Source organism: Homo sapiens, chromosome 1, assembly GCF_000001405.40.
Source record: "Homo sapiens chromosome 1, GRCh38.p14 Primary Assembly".
NCBI classification, from domain to species: domain Eukaryota; kingdom Metazoa; phylum Chordata; class Mammalia; order Primates; family Hominidae; genus Homo; species Homo sapiens.
Window position 1 is genome coordinate 6,430,590 of NC_000001.11, and position 18,039 is coordinate 6,448,628.

At 58.8% G+C, this 18,039-nt stretch overlaps 1 protein-coding gene across 12 annotated transcripts in view, besides 8 other annotated features; it reads left to right on the forward strand.

The window, feature by feature from the left end:
- ESPN (espin) overlaps positions 1-18,039 on the forward strand; it is a 36,595-nt gene that overhangs the window by 5,814 nt on the left and 12,742 nt on the right. For 6 of the 12 annotated variants that reach the window (XM_017002433.2, NM_031475.3, NM_001367474.1 and 3 more), the window contains exons 3-7: positions 9,665-9,851; positions 10,037-10,219; positions 10,345-10,476; positions 13,892-14,093; positions 15,075-15,346. In XM_017002433.2, coding sequence (XP_016857922.1) covers positions 9,665-9,851; positions 10,037-10,219; positions 10,345-10,476; positions 13,892-14,093; positions 15,075-15,346 — 976 coding nt within the window. Of the gene's footprint in view, positions 1-6,104; positions 6,196-9,664; positions 9,852-10,036; positions 10,220-10,344; positions 10,477-13,891; positions 14,094-15,074; positions 15,347-15,715; positions 16,460-17,438; positions 17,529-17,880; positions 17,973-18,039 lie in introns of those variants that run through there. The other 6 variants (XM_047431542.1, XM_047431549.1, XM_011542238.4 and 3 more) reach the window with 5 other exon arrangements.
- Positions 9,088-9,601: an enhancer, noted in NCBI's record as "H3K27ac-H3K4me1 hESC enhancer chr1:6499737-6500250 (GRCh37/hg19 assembly coordinates)". NCBI's record gives its function as "activates a minimal SCP1, AML or CMV promoter by ChIP-STARR-seq in naive H9 embryonic stem cells {active_cell/tissue: H9 hESC(naive)}" and the evidence as "EXISTENCE:reporter gene assay evidence [ECO:0000049][PMID:30033119]".
- Positions 9,840-9,949: a silencer, noted in NCBI's record as "silent region_155". NCBI's record gives its function as "represses an Ori minimal core promoter by ATAC-STARR-seq in GM12878 lymphoblastoid cells {active_cell/tissue: GM12878}" and the evidence as "EXISTENCE:reporter gene assay evidence [ECO:0000049][PMID:35858748]".
- Positions 10,830-11,331: an enhancer, noted in NCBI's record as "H3K4me1 hESC enhancer chr1:6501479-6501980 (GRCh37/hg19 assembly coordinates)". NCBI's record gives its function as "activates a minimal SCP1, AML or CMV promoter by ChIP-STARR-seq in naive H9 embryonic stem cells {active_cell/tissue: H9 hESC(naive)}" and the evidence as "EXISTENCE:reporter gene assay evidence [ECO:0000049][PMID:30033119]".
- Positions 11,332-11,831: an enhancer, noted in NCBI's record as "H3K4me1 hESC enhancer chr1:6501981-6502480 (GRCh37/hg19 assembly coordinates)". NCBI's record gives its function as "activates a minimal SCP1, AML or CMV promoter by ChIP-STARR-seq in naive H9 embryonic stem cells {active_cell/tissue: H9 hESC(naive)}" and the evidence as "EXISTENCE:reporter gene assay evidence [ECO:0000049][PMID:30033119]".
- Positions 12,692-13,234: an enhancer, noted in NCBI's record as "H3K27ac-H3K4me1 hESC enhancer chr1:6503341-6503883 (GRCh37/hg19 assembly coordinates)". NCBI's record gives its function as "activates a minimal SCP1, AML or CMV promoter by ChIP-STARR-seq in naive and primed H9 embryonic stem cells {active_cell/tissue: H9 hESC(naive and primed)}" and the evidence as "EXISTENCE:reporter gene assay evidence [ECO:0000049][PMID:30033119]".
- Positions 14,615-14,754: a silencer, noted in NCBI's record as "silent region_156". NCBI's record gives its function as "represses an Ori minimal core promoter by ATAC-STARR-seq in GM12878 lymphoblastoid cells {active_cell/tissue: GM12878}" and the evidence as "EXISTENCE:reporter gene assay evidence [ECO:0000049][PMID:35858748]".
- Positions 16,296-16,954: an enhancer, noted in NCBI's record as "H3K4me1 hESC enhancer chr1:6506945-6507603 (GRCh37/hg19 assembly coordinates)". NCBI's record gives its function as "activates a minimal SCP1, AML or CMV promoter by ChIP-STARR-seq in naive H9 embryonic stem cells {active_cell/tissue: H9 hESC(naive)}" and the evidence as "EXISTENCE:reporter gene assay evidence [ECO:0000049][PMID:30033119]".
- Positions 16,979-17,853: an enhancer, noted in NCBI's record as "H3K4me1 hESC enhancer chr1:6507628-6508502 (GRCh37/hg19 assembly coordinates)". NCBI's record gives its function as "activates a minimal SCP1, AML or CMV promoter by ChIP-STARR-seq in naive and primed H9 embryonic stem cells {active_cell/tissue: H9 hESC(naive and primed)}" and the evidence as "EXISTENCE:reporter gene assay evidence [ECO:0000049][PMID:30033119]".

An 18,039-nucleotide genomic window follows, 5' to 3' on the forward strand; every position in this document is an offset into this window, starting at 1 on the left:
GCCCTTGTAGAAAAGAGATCTCTCATACAAAATTAGCCAGGCGTGGTGGCGCATGCCTGTAATCCCAGCTACTCAGGAGGCTGAGGCAGGAGAATCGCTTGAACCCGGCAGACGGAGGTTGCGGTGAGCCAAGATTGAGCCATTGCACTCCAGCCTGGGCAACAAGAGTGAAACTCTGTCTCAAGGGGGAAAAAAAAAGAAAAAAAAAAGGCATCTCTCAGTTGGGAGGCATGGGGCTGGCAGGAGCCGGGCTGGGCAAGTCCCAGGCTCTGGGTCTCAGGGAGATTGAGTTGGGAGGATTGGCCCTCCCGGCAGGAGCTCCAGTGGCTGATGGAGGGGAACAAGGGGTCCAGATCCCTAATCAGGGCAGAGTGAGGAGGGGCAAAGAGCAGGTGGCCCCAAGGCCGGTGGCCATCCTCCCAGGAGGGTCCTGGAGCCCAGGAGCTCACTCTGTCCCCCTCACACCTGCTTCTGGCTGCCCCAGGGCCTGAGCAGCTGGGCAGGGCTGTGGGGGTCAGGGAGCTGGGGATCAGTTGGGACCCTGAGGCTTAAGCTTCCAGGCTGGGGAGTGAGGAGGCTCCAGGCTCTTCCCCTGGGCTCGTGGGTGCTGCCAGTCACAGCAAGCTGGAAAACCAGTTAGCCCAGAGATTTTATCAACTTCAGCAGGTGCCTCCTTCCCCGAAAGCCTCCCCTACCCCCGACCAGACTAGACTGGAATGGGATTGGAAAGTACCTGGGGCTGGGTACGGTGGCTCATGCCTGTAATCCCAGCACTTTGGGAGGCCGAGGCAGGTGGATCACCTGAGGTCAAGAGTTCAAAACCAGCCTGACCAACATGGTGAAACCCCGTCTCTACCAAAAATACAAAAATTAGCTGGGCATGTGGCCGGGCTATGCCTGTACAGGTGGCCCATGCCTGTAATCCCAGCTACTTGGGAGGCTGAGGCAGGAGAATCACTTGAACCAGGGAGGCGGAGGTTGCAGTGAGCCCAGATCATGCTATTGCATTCCAGCCTGAGCAACAGAGCAAGATTCTGTCAAAAAAAAAAAAAAAAAAAAAAAAAGGAACGAACGAAAGAAAGGAAGAAAGGAAGGAAAGAAAAGAAAGAAAAGAAAAAGAACCTGGTGCTGAGTATCTTCTAGGGGTCTGGCACCACCCAGTGTCATCTGAGCCACACAACCACCCCGAGCAGTAGCTATGTAATCAGCCCATTTTACAGATGGACTCATTCAACTAATGTTTATTGAGCATCTTCTATGTGCCAGGCAATATTCTAAATGCCAGTGATATGCTGGTGAACCAGACAAGCTTCCCTGCCTCGTGGAGCTGACAGGTACAGAAATGGTGTTTTAGAGAGGCTGATTCACCAGCTGTGGTCACCACTGGCTTGCTGTGTGGCCTTGAGCAGGCTGTACCTCCTCTCTGGGTCTCTCTCCCACTCCTGGTCCAGGTCCTAATCACTCAGGGCCTTTCAAGTCCACCGGAGACTTCCCCTTTTCCCTTCCTTTGTGCAAGGCTTCATGGAGCCTGGCTGCTCCCACGGCCCAGGGGTTCAGGCAGCCCCCACCTGGGACAGAAAGGGAGTTTCTTGGGAAGCACCAGCAGCTCTCAGCTTAGAGAGCCCCAGGGCCCAGGGCTCAACTCTCCCCCTTAGAAGGCTGGAGGCTGTGCCTGGGGTGGTCCCTTTCCCCACTAAGCCCCTGATTCTGCCACAGGCCGTGGGGGCTCATTCCTTTTTGATCACCAGCTCCAGGTCTACCCTTGGTGTCTGTCAGTTCACCTGGCAGCAGGGCGTGGGGGCAGGGCCTGTGTCCGCACTGAGGAGGTGGCTGCTGTCCTTGACCCCCTGACCTACGTGGAGGCTCTGGGAAAGGAAGGGCCTGGTGGAGTCCGGAGCAGCCCCTCACAGCAGGAGACCATCTCATGTCTCCACCAGCAGCTCCTGGTCCCAGCTGTCGTCTAACCGGGGCTAGTGCCCCTGCCCTACCCTTCTAAGGGGGAGAGCTGAGCCTTGGACCCTGGGGCTCTGTAAGCAGCACACTGCTGGGGCATCCTAGGGCTTCTGAGAAACCCCCTTTCTGCCTCACGTGGGGGCTACCTGAACCCCTTGGGCTCAGCTGGGCCATGGGAGCAGCCAGGCTCTGTGAGGCTGTGCACTACAGAACGGAAAAGGGGAAGTCCCCAGTAAGCCTGAAAGGCCCTGGCCTTCACCCGTCCATGTCCACCCGCAGCCTTTGAAAACACAAGTCCTGCTGGGTGCGGTGGCTCACACCTGTAATCCCAGCACTTTGGGAGGCTGAGGCGGGTGGAACACGAGGTCAGGAGTTCAAGACCAGCCTGGCCAACATGAAGAAACCCCGTCTCTACTAAAAAATACAGAAATTAGCTGGGTGTGGTGGCACGTGCCTGTAGTCCCAGCTACTCGGGAGGCTGAGGCAGGAGAATTGCTGGAACCAGGGAAGCGGAGGTTGCAGTGAGCCAAGATCGCACCACTGCACTCCAGCCTGGGCAACAGAGTGAGACTCCATCTCAAAAAAAAAGAAAAAAGAAAAGAAAAGACAGTGCAAGTCCTGGTCTGGTGCAGTGGCTCATGCCTGTAATCCCAGCACTTTGGGAAGCTGAGGCGGGCGGATCACGAGGTCAGGAATTTGAGGCCAGCCCGGCCGATACGGTGAAACCCCATCTCTACTAAAAAATACAAAAATTAGCCGGGCATGGTGGTGGGTGTCTGTAATCCCAGCTACTTAGGAGGCTGAGGCAGGAGAATTGCTTGAACCTGGAAGGCGGAGGTTGCAGTGAACTAAGATCGTGCTGCTGCACTCCAGCCTGGGCGACAGAGCAAGACTCCATCTCAGGAGGAAAAAAAGTTAGCCGGGTGTGGTGGTTCCTGCCTGTAGTCCCAGCTACTTGGGAGGCTGAGGCATGAGAATCACTTGAACGCAGGAGGCAGCGGTTGCAGTGAGCTAAGATTGTGCCACTGCATTCCAGCCTGGGCAACAGAGCAAGAATCCATTTCAAAAAAAAAAAAAAGAACAAGTCCCATCACAGGCTTCTGACCACTGACAGGGAAGGCTGCTCACTTCCTTACAATGGCCCAGAGGCCATCCCTCCTCCGGGCTGTGGTCCCATCCAACAGGCCAGCGCCCCTGCCTTCACAGAGGCTGATCCCTCTGCAGGGATCAGAGATACCCGCCTGCACCCTGCCTTCCTCCAAGTCTTTGCCCAGACCTCACCTCAGCAAGGCCAACCCTGAGCCTTGCTGAAATTGTCAACCGCACCCATGATGCCCACTCACTCTCCCACTGGCCTTGTTCCCTGCTGCCCTTTTTCTTTGAGACTTGAGTCTCGCTCTATCGCCCAGGCTGGAGTGCAGTGGCACGGCTCACTGCAACCTCCACCTCCCAGGTTCAGGTGATTCTCCTGCCTTAGCCTACCGAGTAGCTGGGATTATAGGTGCATATGGCACCACACCCGGCTAATTTTTGTATTATTAGTAGAAATGGGGTTTCACCATGTTGGCCAGGCTGGTCTCCAACTCCTGAACTCAGGTGATCCGCCCGCCTCGGCCTCCCAAAGTGCTGGGATTACAGGCATGAGCCACTGCACCTGGCCTCCCAGCTGCCCTATGGTTGCCTGGCTTTGCGTTCTGTGTGCATCCTGCGTGACAACCAAAAGCTAACCCCTAGGAGAAACCCCTGAGACACATTCCATCTCTTCACTCCCTGCATGCCCGAATTTCCAGCCAGGCCCTTCATCACACAGACAGATGTGTGTTTTCATCCCATCTGTCCCTGACTAATGAGGCCAGGGGCTTTGTCTTCCCGGCTCTGTATGCCCAGAGCCTGACTCCAGTAAACGTCTGCTGAATGAGTGGGGTATGGAATCCCAGGGACTTGTCCACTCTGCCTATAGCTCATTGCATGTGACCCTAGACAAAACTCCCCTCTGAGCATTCCCAAGCCTGTCTGGCAAGTGGACCTAACCTGCCCTACCAGCCTGAGGCCATGAGTGAAGAGAGATCCCCTACTCCTGGCCTGGATGTCCCTTCTCATATTTATTCATTCAACAAAAAGCAACTGGGTGCACCCAACTGCCCGGCCCGTCATCACGTCAGCCATACATTCTTCTATCCATGTGTGTATGGGTCTGAGGAATAGGAGAACAAGATAATTCAGGAGTGACAAGTGCTGTGTAGTGAAATGAGCAGTTTGGTAGGAAGCGATGGGGATGGTTCTTGAAATTGAGGGGTCAGGGAAGCCAGGTGTCTTTGAGGAGAGGAGAGCTGAGACCCTAATGAAAAGAGGGTGGGCCTCGCAGCCCTGCCTTGATGGAACTGGCAGTGATGCGGGGAGGTGTAGAGGCCTCAGGTGGGGTCAAATGTGGCCTAATTAGGGGCCAGGAGGAAGACCTGGGAGGCTGGGAGAGTTGCAGGCAACTGTAGGCTTCTGGAACTATTCCATGCTAGCTGACGGCCTGGGGTGTAGAACCTTTCTCAAATCAGGGCTGCATTTCTTCCCTGGGCCAGGCCTACTCGGGAATCTTTTAACATAGGCCGGGAAGTTTGACTGGAGGACACCGAGAGCCATAGAGCCACCATAGGCTCGGTGAATTTCAATTCAAAGCAGTCACAGGCCGCAGCTGGACTGATCCTCGGATGGAGAGCCTCTTCCTGGCCTCCCTCTGGGGAGGCATGACTGGCAGTGGGGAGGGCTGCGGGAATCATTCTTCAGCCCGGGTCTGGCCCCATGGGCAGCTCACTCCCTGCGGCGGCGCTGGCAGTCAGCTGGCACCAGTCTCCGCCGGAGATTCCCACAGCCCACACGGGCGACCCATGTTTCTTTTGTGTAATCAGAGGTGACTTGATGAATAGTTACAGTTCATCCATAGCATCTTTGTTCCCAGGAGAAAGAAAACAAATCATGATTTATATGATCATCGCCAGGGCGCCTCTGACCTACAAAGAGGGTTTGGGTCAAAGCCGGGGCAAAGGGCAAGGGCTTGGTCTGGGAGCACTTTTCTGCAGCTGTCACTGTGGTCGGGGCTAGAGCTGGCAGGGGTCTGGGAGTCAGAGGTCTCCCCAAAGACCCATCCTCTCCCCTCTAGGTAGTGTTCCCCACAACAGAAATGGTGCCCAGCCTGGCCCATACTTGGCAGGACCTGGACACTCCAGGCCAGCCATAGACCCTCCTGGTGGCTGGTCCTCCCAGGTACAGGGAAGGATCCTAAAGTTCAGCAATGGCTGTGCACCAGGCACCAGGCCTGTGCTCAGGGCTCTGCCAGCACTTCTCAGGCACTCCGCATGAGGTCAGGATGACAACTGTTGTCCCCATTTCATGGATGGGTTTGGGAAGACAAAGAGACAAGAAGCAAGACTGTGGCACAGCTCAAAGGCACGGGACTTGAGCCAGGTCCTCCTTATAGCGAAGCCGGGGCCCTCCCTGCAGGTCCTCCTGCCGGGGCTGTGCCCCAGCAGCTGGCAAAGAGTGTTCCTGAGTTCCCAGCAGTGAGGTCTGCGGGAGAAGGGCAGTGGTCTGTGCGGTGGGAGGGAGGGAGGCAGAGGGACAGACCAACCAAGAGCAGAAGGGGTGTAGACGTGGCACATTTGGAGTCAGAAGCAGGCTCTGCATGAGACGCAGCCTCAAATTGGGGCTCTGCCTCTTTCTCACAGAGTGATCTTAGCTCTCTGTGCCTCAGTTTCCTCATCTGTACCAGGAGAACAATGCTAACACCTGTCCTGTGGGGTTACAAGGACCAGCTGAGAGAACGTGTGTGTTGTACTCATCACAGTGCTTGAGACAGAGTAATCATTCAGTAAATGGTGGCTGCTATCACTATTATTATTTACTATTATTACTTTTATTAATTCCTCTCTCCAGTGATGGGAATTTTTTCTTATTTATTTATTTATTTATTTATTTATTTATTTATTTTAGAGGCAGGATCTTGCTCTGACACCCGGGCTGGAGTACAGTGGTATGATCATAGTTCCCTGCAGCCTCAACTTCCTGGACTCAAGTGATCCTACCTCCTCAGCCTCCTGAGCGGCTGGGACTACAGGTGTGCACCAACACACCTGGCTCATTTTTGTATTGTTTGTAGAGAATGGCGGTCTCTCTATGTTGCCCAGGCTGGTCTCGAACTCCTAGGCTCAGGCAGTCCTCCTGCTTTGGCCTCCGAAGGTGCTTGGATTCCAGGTGTGTGATGAGAATTTCATTTTGGTCCTTATGCTCATCCATATCTTTGTAATACTCCCCAGTGACTGTGAGAGTGCCCATTGTTCTTCTTGTCCTCAGGCCAAGGTGGAGGGGGATGTTGAGCCGGGATCCCCTCCCCCGCAGCCCAACAGCATATCTGCCCCATGTTCTGGGGTATTCCAAGGGGATGTTGAGCCAGGATCCCCTCCCCCTCAGCCCATCAGCATATCTGTCCCATGTTCTGGGGTATTCCAAGCTGGAGGCTCTGACTCCATAATGGGGCGTGTGAGTGCAGATGGTGGAATACTAACGAGAATGGTGATGAGCTCCAGCACTTACTGAGGGCTCATTCCGTGCCAGGAACTTGGGCTGGGAATGCCAGCCAGCGGCCCTGCAGGAGGCTGTGGGTACCACTGCCCCCTGCTGCTCAGATCCTGCTTGGTGCCAGCTTCTCAGACCTTCTCCGGCTGGCTGGGCACCCCTGGGTCATGGATCTCTGCCAAGTGGGGGGTGCTGGGAGAGCAGAGCTCACCGCAGGTCTGGCCCCCCCACCAGCTGTGCAGACCGCCGTGGGCCTCTACAGATAGAACCCAGTGGGCCCCCACCAGCCCCTGATCCCCAAGACCCCGGCACTCACTGTGCCTTGGTTACGGGGTGAATAATTTAGGCCGCTGAGTGTCAGTCATGAAATATTCAACAGCCTGTTCCTGACGCAGCAGCATGTGAGTGTGCGTGGGGGTGACGCTGGCGCTGGGGTGTGGAGGCTGGCAGCCACGAGCCAGCATGTTTCTGAAGATAGATACGTAGCTGTGTCTTCTGTCTCCCTCATCTATGTCGACGGGACCCCCTCTGGATCACCAGGCATGGTGCCTGCTCCCCGCACCATCGTGAAGTGCCGGGCTCAGCATCAGCCCCAGCAAATGGCAGCCCTGTGTCTAGGGAGTGGGGAGGGAGGAGAAATCAGTGAGTGGAGGTCCATGGGGGCTGCAGACAGCCTTGGGGTCTCAGGAGTCAGGGAAGTAGACAGAGAACCAGGGCTTTAGGGACAGGGAGATGCCAGCTGGGAGGGTCTCAGGATGTGTGTGAGAGGGAGGGAGAGGGCACACGTGACAGGGGTCAGAAGAGGGGCTAAGTCGTGTTGGGAACAAGAGGGTGGGTGGGCAAAGGGGGGTAGCCTGGTGCCCATTGATGGGCAGGCAACAAGCGGATGGGCAGTTGGATGGGTGAGCGAGGGATGAATGCGGGGTGGAGCATGTGGTTGATCTAGGGGGTGAAACACTGGGGGAGGTAGATGGGCAGGATGTGAAGTCCTGTGAAGAATTGGCCTCCTAAGCACAAAAGGTGAATTGGAACCCAATAGGTCGCGGCCCCCAACCTGGAGCTTCTCCTGGGTCTGGGGATAGATTGTGGCTCCACCTAGTGTCCTTCGGTGGTAACTGCACCCTGGCTGTTCACCTGGACACACCAGGCCAGCCATAGACCCTCCTGGTGGCTGGTCCTCCCAGGCACAAGGAAGGATCCTAAAGTTCAGCAATGGCTGTGCGCCAGGCACCAGGCCTGTGCTCAGGGCTCTGCAAGCACTTCTCAGGCACTCTGCACAAGGTCAGGATGACAACTGTTGTCCCCATTTCATGGATGGGTTTGGGAAGACAAAGAGACAAGAAGCAAGACTGTGGCACAGCTCAAAGGCCCCCCTCTGGGCTGGGAGAGCAAGGATAAGGGACAGTGACAGCCGAAAGCTAGGCCCTAGGAGAAGCCCCTGAGACACATTCCAGCTCTTCAGTCCCTGCATGCCCATATTGCCGGCCAGGCCCTGCATGCACAGACAGATGGGTGTTCAAATGCCACTTACCAGCTGTGTGACCGAGGAGAGAGCTGAGTCTGTGCCTCTGTTGTGGGACTATGGGTGATGGCACAGAGTCCCAGCCCCACCTGTGAGCCTCCTCAGCTGCAGCTGCACCATTGACTGAATTCTGATTCTGGCAGGTCCCCTGCTAGGTGCCTTACCGGTGTAATCTCAGTTGATGGTCATAGTAATAGTTGATGGCCGGGTGCGGTGGCTCACACCTGTAATCCCAGCACTTTGGGAAGCTGAAACAGGCGGATCACTTGAGCTCAGGAGTCCGAGACTAGCCTGGCCAAGATGGCAAAACTGGGTTTCTACTAAAAATACAAAAATTAGCCAGGCGTGGTGGCACATGCCTGTAGTCCCAGCTGCTTGGGAGGCTGAGGCAGGAGAATGGCTTGAACCCAGGAGGCAGAGGTTGCAGTGAGCTGAGATTGCGCCATTGCATTCCAGCCTGGATGACAGAGCAAGACTCCGTCTCAAAAATAAAAATAAAAAAGAAGAACCTGCTTGCTAGTGCCGTAGCCCAGAGCTAGCACAGCAGAAGCATTCAGTACATAGTGGACATCCTGAGGGCTGCCAGATTAACAAAAACAGCAACAACCAAACCCAGGACGTTTGACTAGCTTTGAATCTCAGATAAACAAGCTGTACTTTAGTATAAGTATGTCCCATGCAATATTTGGGATATAGAATACTAAAGCATTATCCGTTTATCAGAAATTCAGATTGAATTGTGTGAACTGCCTTTTGTCTGGCAACCCTTACCACCCTGCCCTCTGGGAACTCAGTCTTCTGGGGGAGGCAAAGGTCAAAATCAGTTATGGTCAACCAAGCATGACAGGTCATGCTCAAGTGGCCCTGGGCAGTGTGGGGCGGAGGCCAGCAAGGGGGAAATAAATCAGGGTGGCCCTCATGGAGGAGGGATGGGTACTGAGTCTTCAAGAGGGAGGAGAAGGACATTCCAGATGGAGGGGGCACACAATGAAAGGGATAGAGGTCAGACACAGCAGGTGTGGGGATTCATGGTGACAGTGGGTGAGAGGGGAGAAGAGGCCAGCTCACCACATCTTTGTAGACCTCGGTTAAAAAGTGGGACTGAGCCTGGGTGCGGTGGCTCTGTAATCCCAGCACTTTGGGAGGCTGAGATGGGCGGATCACGAGGTCAGGAGTTCGAGACCAGCCTGGTCAACATGGTGAAACCCTGTCCCTACTAAAAATACAAAAAATTAGCGGGGCGTGGTGGCACATGCCTGTAATCCCAGCTACTCAGGAGGCTGAGGCAGAAGAATCGCTTGAACCCGGGAGGCAGAGGTTGCAGTGAGCCAAGATCGAGCCACTGCACTCCAGCCTGGGCGACAGAGCTAGACTTCTTCTCAAAAAAAAAAGTAGGACTGAGGGCAGGGCAGTGCTGGGTGGGACGCCCTCAGGGACCTCTGAGGGAGGGTGGCTCAGGACTCAGTCCAGGGGGAGCCCCCCGGGCAGCAGCGGGCCGGTGACAGGGCCCTTTCCCACCCACTCTCCCTGCCGTCCAGGGCTCCCCGGGACGGGATGGGGGCGGGTAAGAAGGCCTCGGAGGGGGTGAGGCGCTGAAAGCCCACGGTGGGCGCTGTGTCTCCGCAGGGGAGTGAATGCCCAAACCAAGAACGGTGCCACGCCCCTGTACCTGGCGTGCCAGGAGGGCCACCTGGAGGTGACCCAGTACCTGGTGCAGGAATGCGGCGCAGACCCGCACGCGCGCGCCCACGACGGCATGACCCCGCTGCACGCCGCGGCGCAGATGGGCCACAGCCCAGTCATCGTGTGGTTGGTGAGCTCCGGGCCCGGGCGGGGAGCAGGGGAGGCGGGGCGGAGCCGGCAGGGCGGGGAGTGGAGGGAGCGGGGCCATCAGGGGTGGGGCGGGGGGGCGGGGGCGGGCCACGGAGGTACAGGGGGCGGGCCTACAGGGGCCTGGCGCCCAGCCCCCGCCCCCCTCTCCCCGCCCGTCCCGCCCAGGTGAGCTGCACCGACGTGAGCCTGTCCGAGCAGGACAAAGACGGCGCCACCGCCATGCACTTCGCGGCGAGCCGCGGCCACACCAAGGTGCTCAGCTGGCTGCTGCTGCACGGCGGGGAGATCTCGGCTGACCTGTGGGGCGGGACCCCGCTGCACGACGCCGCCGAGAACGGGGAGCTAGAGGTCAGCGCGGGCCCGGGGTGGGGGCGCGCGCCCTCTGCTGGCACCGCGCTTTCAGCACGGCCCTGCCCGGGCGCGGGGGTCCCAGCTCGCGGCCGCGGCCGGGTCCTCACTGCGTGCCCCCGCAGTGCTGCCAGATCCTGGTAGTGAACGGCGCGGAGCTGGACGTCCGCGACCGCGACGGGTACACGGCCGCCGACCTGTCGGACTTCAACGGCCACAGCCACTGCACCCGCTACCTGCGCACGGTGGAGAACCTGGTACGATCCCTGAGCTGCTCCTGTCGCATTCTTTCTTCTCGCCCCTCCACCCCAGTGGTGGGTGTCGTCACCCCTTTTACCAAGGAGGAAGCTGAGGTTCAGGGACGTGAAGCCCGCTACCCCACACGACCTCTCAGCCCAGAACCACTGCCTACTGGGGACTGAGGGAGTAGAGGCACAAAGGTCAACGGAAAGAGGACAGGGAAGACCAGAGTCACCCCAAGGGGTAAGGCTGGAGAAATCACAAGACAGGACCCACTGGGAATAGGCAGGCTCATTCACCTACCCATAGACATTAGCTTGGGTATAACTCACAGCCACCCTCTGCAGAAAAGAGTGTTTAAGTGTCCCGTTCCACATATGGATAAAGTGAGTCTGCGGGGCACCAAGATGGCATCACCAGTAACTGTTAGAGTGGAGAACCTACCTTGATGGCCTGGCCAGGAGGCACCTCTCAGCCCCTGCACCATACATTTGCTGACTTCATGGCTGGGTCATAACTGGAAACCCACGCTACTCTTTTTAAATTATGTTATTATGGTGAGACAGCCATGAAGTGACCCAATGGGACTTGAACTCAGCTGTGGATGTCTCCAAGTGCAGGGCTCTGCACCATCTGGTACAATGCCTGCTATGAGGCAATAGGCAGGGAAGAGAGTGGGCCTCGCAGTCAACCCGAAAAGGATGCGGACCAACTCCATGGGGCAGCCTGGCCATGGAGGGGCTGTGCAATGAGGCCCGGAGGGAAGAAGGCAGATGGTCTGTGCCCTGAGCACCGTCTGTCCATCTGCCCTCCCCCCCCCAGCACAGGGGGATGGTCCTGGCTCTGGGGGCTGCAGAACACAGCAAGGCCCAGAGGCCAGAGGCTGCAGGGGGGCCTGAGGATGAACTTCCCCCCGCGAAAGAGTCTCTGGAAGAGAATGAATGGCCCAGCAGGTAGTGAGCACTCTGTCACTAGGGTATATAAGCTGGGATGGACACTGGGAAGGGCATTTCTGCATCAATGGTGGGTCCCCTTCAGTTAAGAGTGTCTGTGACTCTGTTGAGGGACCGTGGGGGGTGGCACCAGAGCCCAGGGCACCTGAGGGCCTCTCTGGATGCAGCTGCTAGCGGTCATAGGACAGCAAACACTATTCATTGGATTCTGACTTAGGCAGGCACCCTGCCGAGTGCCTTAAAGGTGTAATCTCCGTTACTCTTCACAGTACATTAAAAAAATAGTTGGCCGGGTGCAGTGGCTCATGCCTGTAATCCCAGCACTTTGGGAGGCAAAGGCAGGCAGATCACGAGGTCAGTAGATCGAGACCATCCTGGCCAACATGGTGAAATCCCATCTCTACTAAAAATACAAAAAAAAATTTAGCCAGGTATGGTAGCACACGCCTGTAGTCCCAGCTACTCGGGAGGCTGAGGCAGGAAAATCGCTTGAACCCAGGAGACGGAGGTTGCAGTAAGCCAAGATCGCGCCACTGCACTCCAGCCTGGTGACAGAGCAAGACTCCTTCTAAAAAAAAAAAAAAAAGGCTGGGCACGGTGGCTCACGCCTGTAATCCTAGCACTTTGGGAGGCTGAGGCGGGCAGATCACAAGGTCAAGAGATCGAGACCATTCTGGCCAACATGGTGAAACCCCGTTTCTATTAAAAATATAAAAATTAGCTGGGCATGGTGGTGGGTGCCTGTTGTCCCAGCTACTTGGGAGGCTGAGGCAGGAGAATCGCTTGAACCCGGGAGGCGGAGGTTGCAGTGAGCCGAGATCACGCCACTGCACTCCAGCCTGGGTGACAGAGCAAGACGCTGTCTCAAAAAAAAAAAAAAAAAAAAAGGTTGAGAGGCCATGTGGGGTGGCTCATGCCTGCACTTTGGGAAGCTGAGGCGGCGGGTGGATCACCTGAAGTCAGGGTTCGAGACCAGCCTGGTCAACATGATGAAACCCCATCTCTACTAAAAATACAAAAATTAGCTGAGTGTGGTGGCGGGCGCCTGTAATTCCAACTACTTGGGAGGCTGAGGCAGGAGAATTGCTCGAACCCGGGAGATGGAGGCTGCAGTGAGCCAAGACCACGCCACTGCACTCCAGCCTGGGCGACAAGAATGAAACTCTGTCTAAAAAAAAAAAAAAAAAGTTGACAATATGGCATTTACTGGGTGCCATGTCCTGGAGCTCAGCAGAGCAAGTAGTGCTGTTATCCCCATTTGCAGATAAAGAAAGTTAGGCACAAAAAGCATAGGTGACTCTCCCGAAATAGCTAGTAAGTCAGGGAGGGGAAGTCTGAAGCCACTGTCCCAGACTGCAGAGCTGGGTGGCTCAGGCCAGGTGCAGTACACCTGCTGTGGCCCAGCCTCTTATCTGCTGCCTACAGGGGTCAGGGCTTGGTGCCCTCAGCACCCACTGCTGTTGGCCAGGTAAAGAGCACCTTCGGGTGCTGCCCACGCCACCTCCTATGGCTCCCCTGATTCCTGCGGTAGGCAGCAGGGCCTGGTCCCCTGGAATGGGTGGAGTATGTGTGCCCTGGTTCCCTCACCCAAGCAGGCCCAGCTGCGGCAGGGACAGATCCAAGCCACAGAAGACGCTGGCCCAGAAAAGGCAAACACTCCCACAGAGCCCCTAATTACGGGGCCAATGAGCGCGGCCGCTGAGCCGTTACCTGGTGCCAGGCCTGCCTCTCTCTCCCAGGGGGCCTGTGACACTTCTTAGGCAGGGAGGGGGCATGGGGCAAGGAGGAGCAGGCCTGGGCAGGAGGCAGCGGAGCAAGCGGGCTTGCCGGCAGCAGGGGCAGCATGGCAATGTAAGCAGGGCCCCCACCACAGCCCCGTCTGCACCGGGAGGGGACAGGCCTGTGGTCAGACGCACAGACCGGGCAGGGCGAGGGGATGGCAGGCCTGGCAGCCTGAGTTCTGGCTGCCCATCACTGCAGCTGGCCATCCAGGCCCCACCCTTACCCCGAGGGCCCCATCAGGAGACAGGCCGGGCTGGTGTTGGGAGTCTGCCCCAGGCCCCAGGTCCAGCAAGGAGAGCCGGCTTGCCAGCCAGGTAACTAGGGATGGGCCTGTGCTGTGCGCCTCCCCATGGAGCCTCTGCCGATCCGTGAGGGAGAAGGCCGATCTCCTGGCATTTCTCCCCTTGGGGTGCAGCTCAAGGGCCCCCTCCTTGTCGATCTCTCCACCCTCCTAATCAGGGAGGAGCCAGGGGAGGGAGTTTCCCAGGAACCTGGGTCCTGCTGCCTGGCGGGGCTGGGCTTGAATCTTAACCTGGAGGAACCTGAGAGACCGTCTAGTGATGGGGAAGAGACCCCAGAGAGCGGTGTGGCTTGGCCAAGATCCCACAGCGAAGGCATGACTGAGTAGGACCCTGGCCTGGAGAGCAACGCATCTTGGGGTATGGTTGTCTTCATGGCCTCCCTGCCTCCCCTTCAGAGCGTGGAGCACCGCGTGCTTTCCCGGGATCCATCCGCAGAGCTGGAGGCTAAGCAGCCGGATTCAGGCATGTCCTCACCCAATACCACGGTGTCGGTCCAGCCGCTGAACTTTGACCTCAGCTCGCCTACCAGCACCCTCTCCAACTACGACTCCTGCTCCTCCAGCCACTCCAGCATCAAGGGCCAGCACCCTCCATGTGGTGAGTGTGCCCAGGAGGAAGACGGGGAGGGAGAGCAGACTGAAGCCAGACTGCTGGGCTGTGAGGATTGGCCTTGGGCCGCCCTGCCACAGCCAATATCGGACACTACCCTCATCACTTGCTCTTAAACATGGGGAGGCGACACCCCTTCTGGTGAGAGACAGATGTCACTCATACTTGTGTGTGCTTATCACAAACATACATGTACATCCACATGTACTCTCCCCACCCACAAAGTCCACGTGTGTCGCCCACCATTCATTATTCTTAGCTACTCACATACAAAAGCACACACTTGTACATGTGTACATACAGCATACAGATATGAACACACAGAGCCATGCGAATATCTGCACACACCCACCCTACACACAAGCAAGCACACAGTGCTCTATTTCCATACTACAGATATGCACGCACACACACACACATACACACCATGTCCACAGAGCAATGCACACACATTCATCAGTACAAAGAAGCATGTGCACAAATGCGTACCCCCTCAAACATACACAAATGCACGATCGCCTCGGCAGACTGCAGGCTTGTGTGTACACACACCCTGACCGTGCCCTGAGCATGGGCGTCCGTCCACTTGCAATGCCTGCTTCACGCCGCCAGATGGTGGCCTCCAGACCTGGCAGGGGTGCCCTGCAAAGATTGGATGTGGCCATCCGTACTCCCAAGGAGTAGACCCTCCCCTTCCAGGTGACCCTGCCCTCTAGACACACCAAAGCCTCCAGTGCTTCCCCTCCAAACCGGAGTGCCTGGTCTTCCCCCAGTAAGTGCTGGGCTGGGGCAGGGTAGGGCCAGGGAGGGGAAGCCCAGCACCGCCAGGGGCCACAGCAGGTGTACCAAGTGGTGCCCGGAGCCCACCTTGCCCCTCGGCAAGTTGTTTCCAGGTGGTGGAGAGTCTCAGTCTTGGGGGACAGCCTGTCTGCATGCTCCCAAATCTGGCCCTTCCTTCTGCCTCCCCAGGGCTTTCCAGCGCTAGAGCTGCAGACATACAGAGCTACATGGACATGCTGAACCCGGAGCTGGGCCTGCCTCGGGGCACGATTGGGAAGCCCACACCCCCACCACCCCCACCCAGCTTCCCCCCGCCACCCCCGCCCCCAGGCACCCAACTGCCCCCACCCCCACCTGGCTACCCAGCTCCCAAGCCTCCTGTAGGACCACAGGCAGCTGACATCTACATGCAGACCAAGAACAAACTCCGCCACGTGGAGACAGAGGCCCTCAAGAAGGAGGTAGTGAGCCCTCACCCCCTGCCTGCCTCCCAGCAGGGGGACTGGGCTGATGGGGGCCAGTGAGGCCAAAGGCCTGGCCTCACTAGTGGGCATAGGGTGGGGATCCCTGGGTCCATGGCATGTTCAAGAGTCAAAGCTCCTGGCGAGTCCCACAAGGGGTCAGGGCTGGACACTGGACTGGGAGGAGAGTAAGAGCAGGTCATTGCCCTCCATGGGAGCTGGGGGGTGAAGGACGCAGGTCCAGACAGCTGTGCCTCACCAGGAACTGGGCCTGTGCCACCTCTTGCACAGAGTGGCCGGGTTGTCATGGAGTTGACAGAGAATGCATGGAGACTGCCCCTCCCCAAGCATGCCCCCCCACCCCCACAGCCCCAGGCTCAGTCGGAGAGTGTCACCCAAGGGAGGTGGCTGCCAGGTGGAAGGTGCCAGTGGCATGGCTGTGGAGGTGAGGGCTGGAAGGAGGGTGGGGGGAAGGTGAGCAGGCACTAGCAGGGCTGGGTGGAAGTGAAGCTGTGGCTGGTTCCAGTTTAGGGCTTGAGCTCCTGGGGGAAAGGGCCAGGCCTGAGCTGGGAGCCCTGGAAGGAAGCGAGCCTGTGTGGAGAGGATGAGGCCAGGGTGGGCAGGTGGAGTGTGAGGTGCCTAGGGATGTCTGGGGCCTGCAGGCCCCTGGCTGAGGCTCTGGAGCAGGGGTTGGGGCAGAGGTCTGGTCTGAGCAATTCCGGGTATCCCGGGCAGGGTGCCCTGGGGAACACTGGCGTTCTGGCCATAGGAACAGAGCAAGGATGGTCTAAGAGGTGAGGGGACAGCCTGAGGTCACAGGTGGCCAGATGTGGTGTGGCAGCCCCCTGGGGTCCTGCTGGAGCCTGGGACCTTGCAGTTCTCAAGCCCAAGGCAAAGCCACCCCAGGGCCAATTCATAAAAGGTGACTCGGGTCACAAGGCCACTGGGCAAGGGAGGCATGGGAGGGACACCGAACCTGCAGGCCAGCTCCAGTAGCTGCCCTCTTCATGCCACCTTAGACCAAGCTCCCACAGTGGCTTCCCCTTTCATCTCTGGGAGGCAGAGGGGGCCCTGGAATCGCTGAGTTCCCAACGCAGACTGTTGGCCCCGCCCAAATCCACAGGACAGGTGGCCCAGCCAGTGCCCCGTCTCCACCGTTGAGCCCAAGTGCCAGGTCTGCGTGGTCCCCTCCTGGCTGTGTGAGCCCCCTCCCGGCTGTGTGCGTCCCTCCGGGCTGTGTGCGCCCCTCCCGGCTGTGTGCGCCCCTCCCCACTGTGTGCGCCCCTCCCGGCTATGTGCGTCCATCTCGGCCGTGTGCGTGCTGGGCCGCAGGCGCCAGGGCCGGGGCCCGGACGCTCCACAAAGGGCTCTTTGTGTCGCCGCGGCGCCCCCCGCGCGGGTGCCTGACCGGGGGCGGGAGCAGGGTCGTGGCGTCCGAACCTCCGGGCTGCAGGGGGCGCGGAGCGGGCGGGCTGGCCCAGAAAACAAATCCTGCGGTGTCGCATTTCCTGCAACGTGAGCCAGGTCGGGCGGGGTGAAGGGTCTGAGGCCACCGCAGGGACGCATGGGCTGGAGAGTGGGGCAGAGGACAGCCCCCACCCGGTCACTCAGTCTTTGGCCCGGCCGCCTCACTCTCCCTCACTGAGCTGGGCCTAGTTGGGGGCAGCTGCGATGGGGTGGGAAGCCACGCTGTCACCCGACCCCGCCTTACGGCCCCTGAAATCCGAGGCTTGAGCGCGGGTGTCGGTGTCGCTTTCGTGGATGGCGATGGTTTCCAGATGCAGGAGGGGAAGGGTGGGGACGCGACCCGGAGCCGGGGGCCAAATATGAGAGGCCTCCTCTGCCCACAGTCAGCCCTCTCCCCTCTCGGGCGGGGATGAAGGTGGGGGCTCAGCTCCCAGCTTAGGGAGAGGCGCAGGGGGCGGGGTCACATCTGGCCGGGGACGGGTGCAGAGCCGCGGCCAGGTGTGGCAAAGTAGTTGGCGCCCCCTGTGGCATCCGCGACGGCTGGGGGGGTTCAGCCTGGGATTGGCGGGCCCCGGGTGATGTCAGGCCGTCGGAGCCCATAGGCTGGCTGTGCGCGGGTGGCTGTAACCTGAGAGGAAGTATCAGGTAACGCAGGTGTCGGGTCCTGCCGCCCCCACAGCCAGGTGCACAGCGGGGGCCACCAGCACCGTGGCAGGTAGGAGCAGCCCCCGGACGGGCAACCGGGGTCCGTGGCAAGCCGGAGCCTCCGAGAGCACAGGCTCTGGAGGGGGCTCCCTCCGGCCCCGGACCCCCGAAAGACAGGGCTCCGCGGAGCCCTGGGGACCCGCAGTCCTTCTGACAGCCGAGAGCGGAGTGCGGCCGAGGGCCTAGTGAGGGCTAAGCTGGGAGGTGCCCCTTCGCCAGCTCCCCCTGGCGTCGGGGCTGGGCCACCCCGCCCCTGGGCCCGCCTCTTCTGGCCTCAGTGGGGGCCCCTGTGCCCCTTGGCCGGTGCCCAGAACCCCTCCCTGTAAGGCGGGCGGAGCCTGCCCTTCCACCGAGGCCCCCATGACCCTCGCCCGCTGCCCACTGTGAGAACCAGGGGGTCTAGGAAGTCAGCTGCTGCACCCCTCGACGGCCGCTGGCCGCGAGTCCCCAGGAGGTGAAGAGCTGGGTGGGGAGGCGTGGGGGGCGCCTACCGGGCAGGTGCCCGAGCCCCACCGGTCACT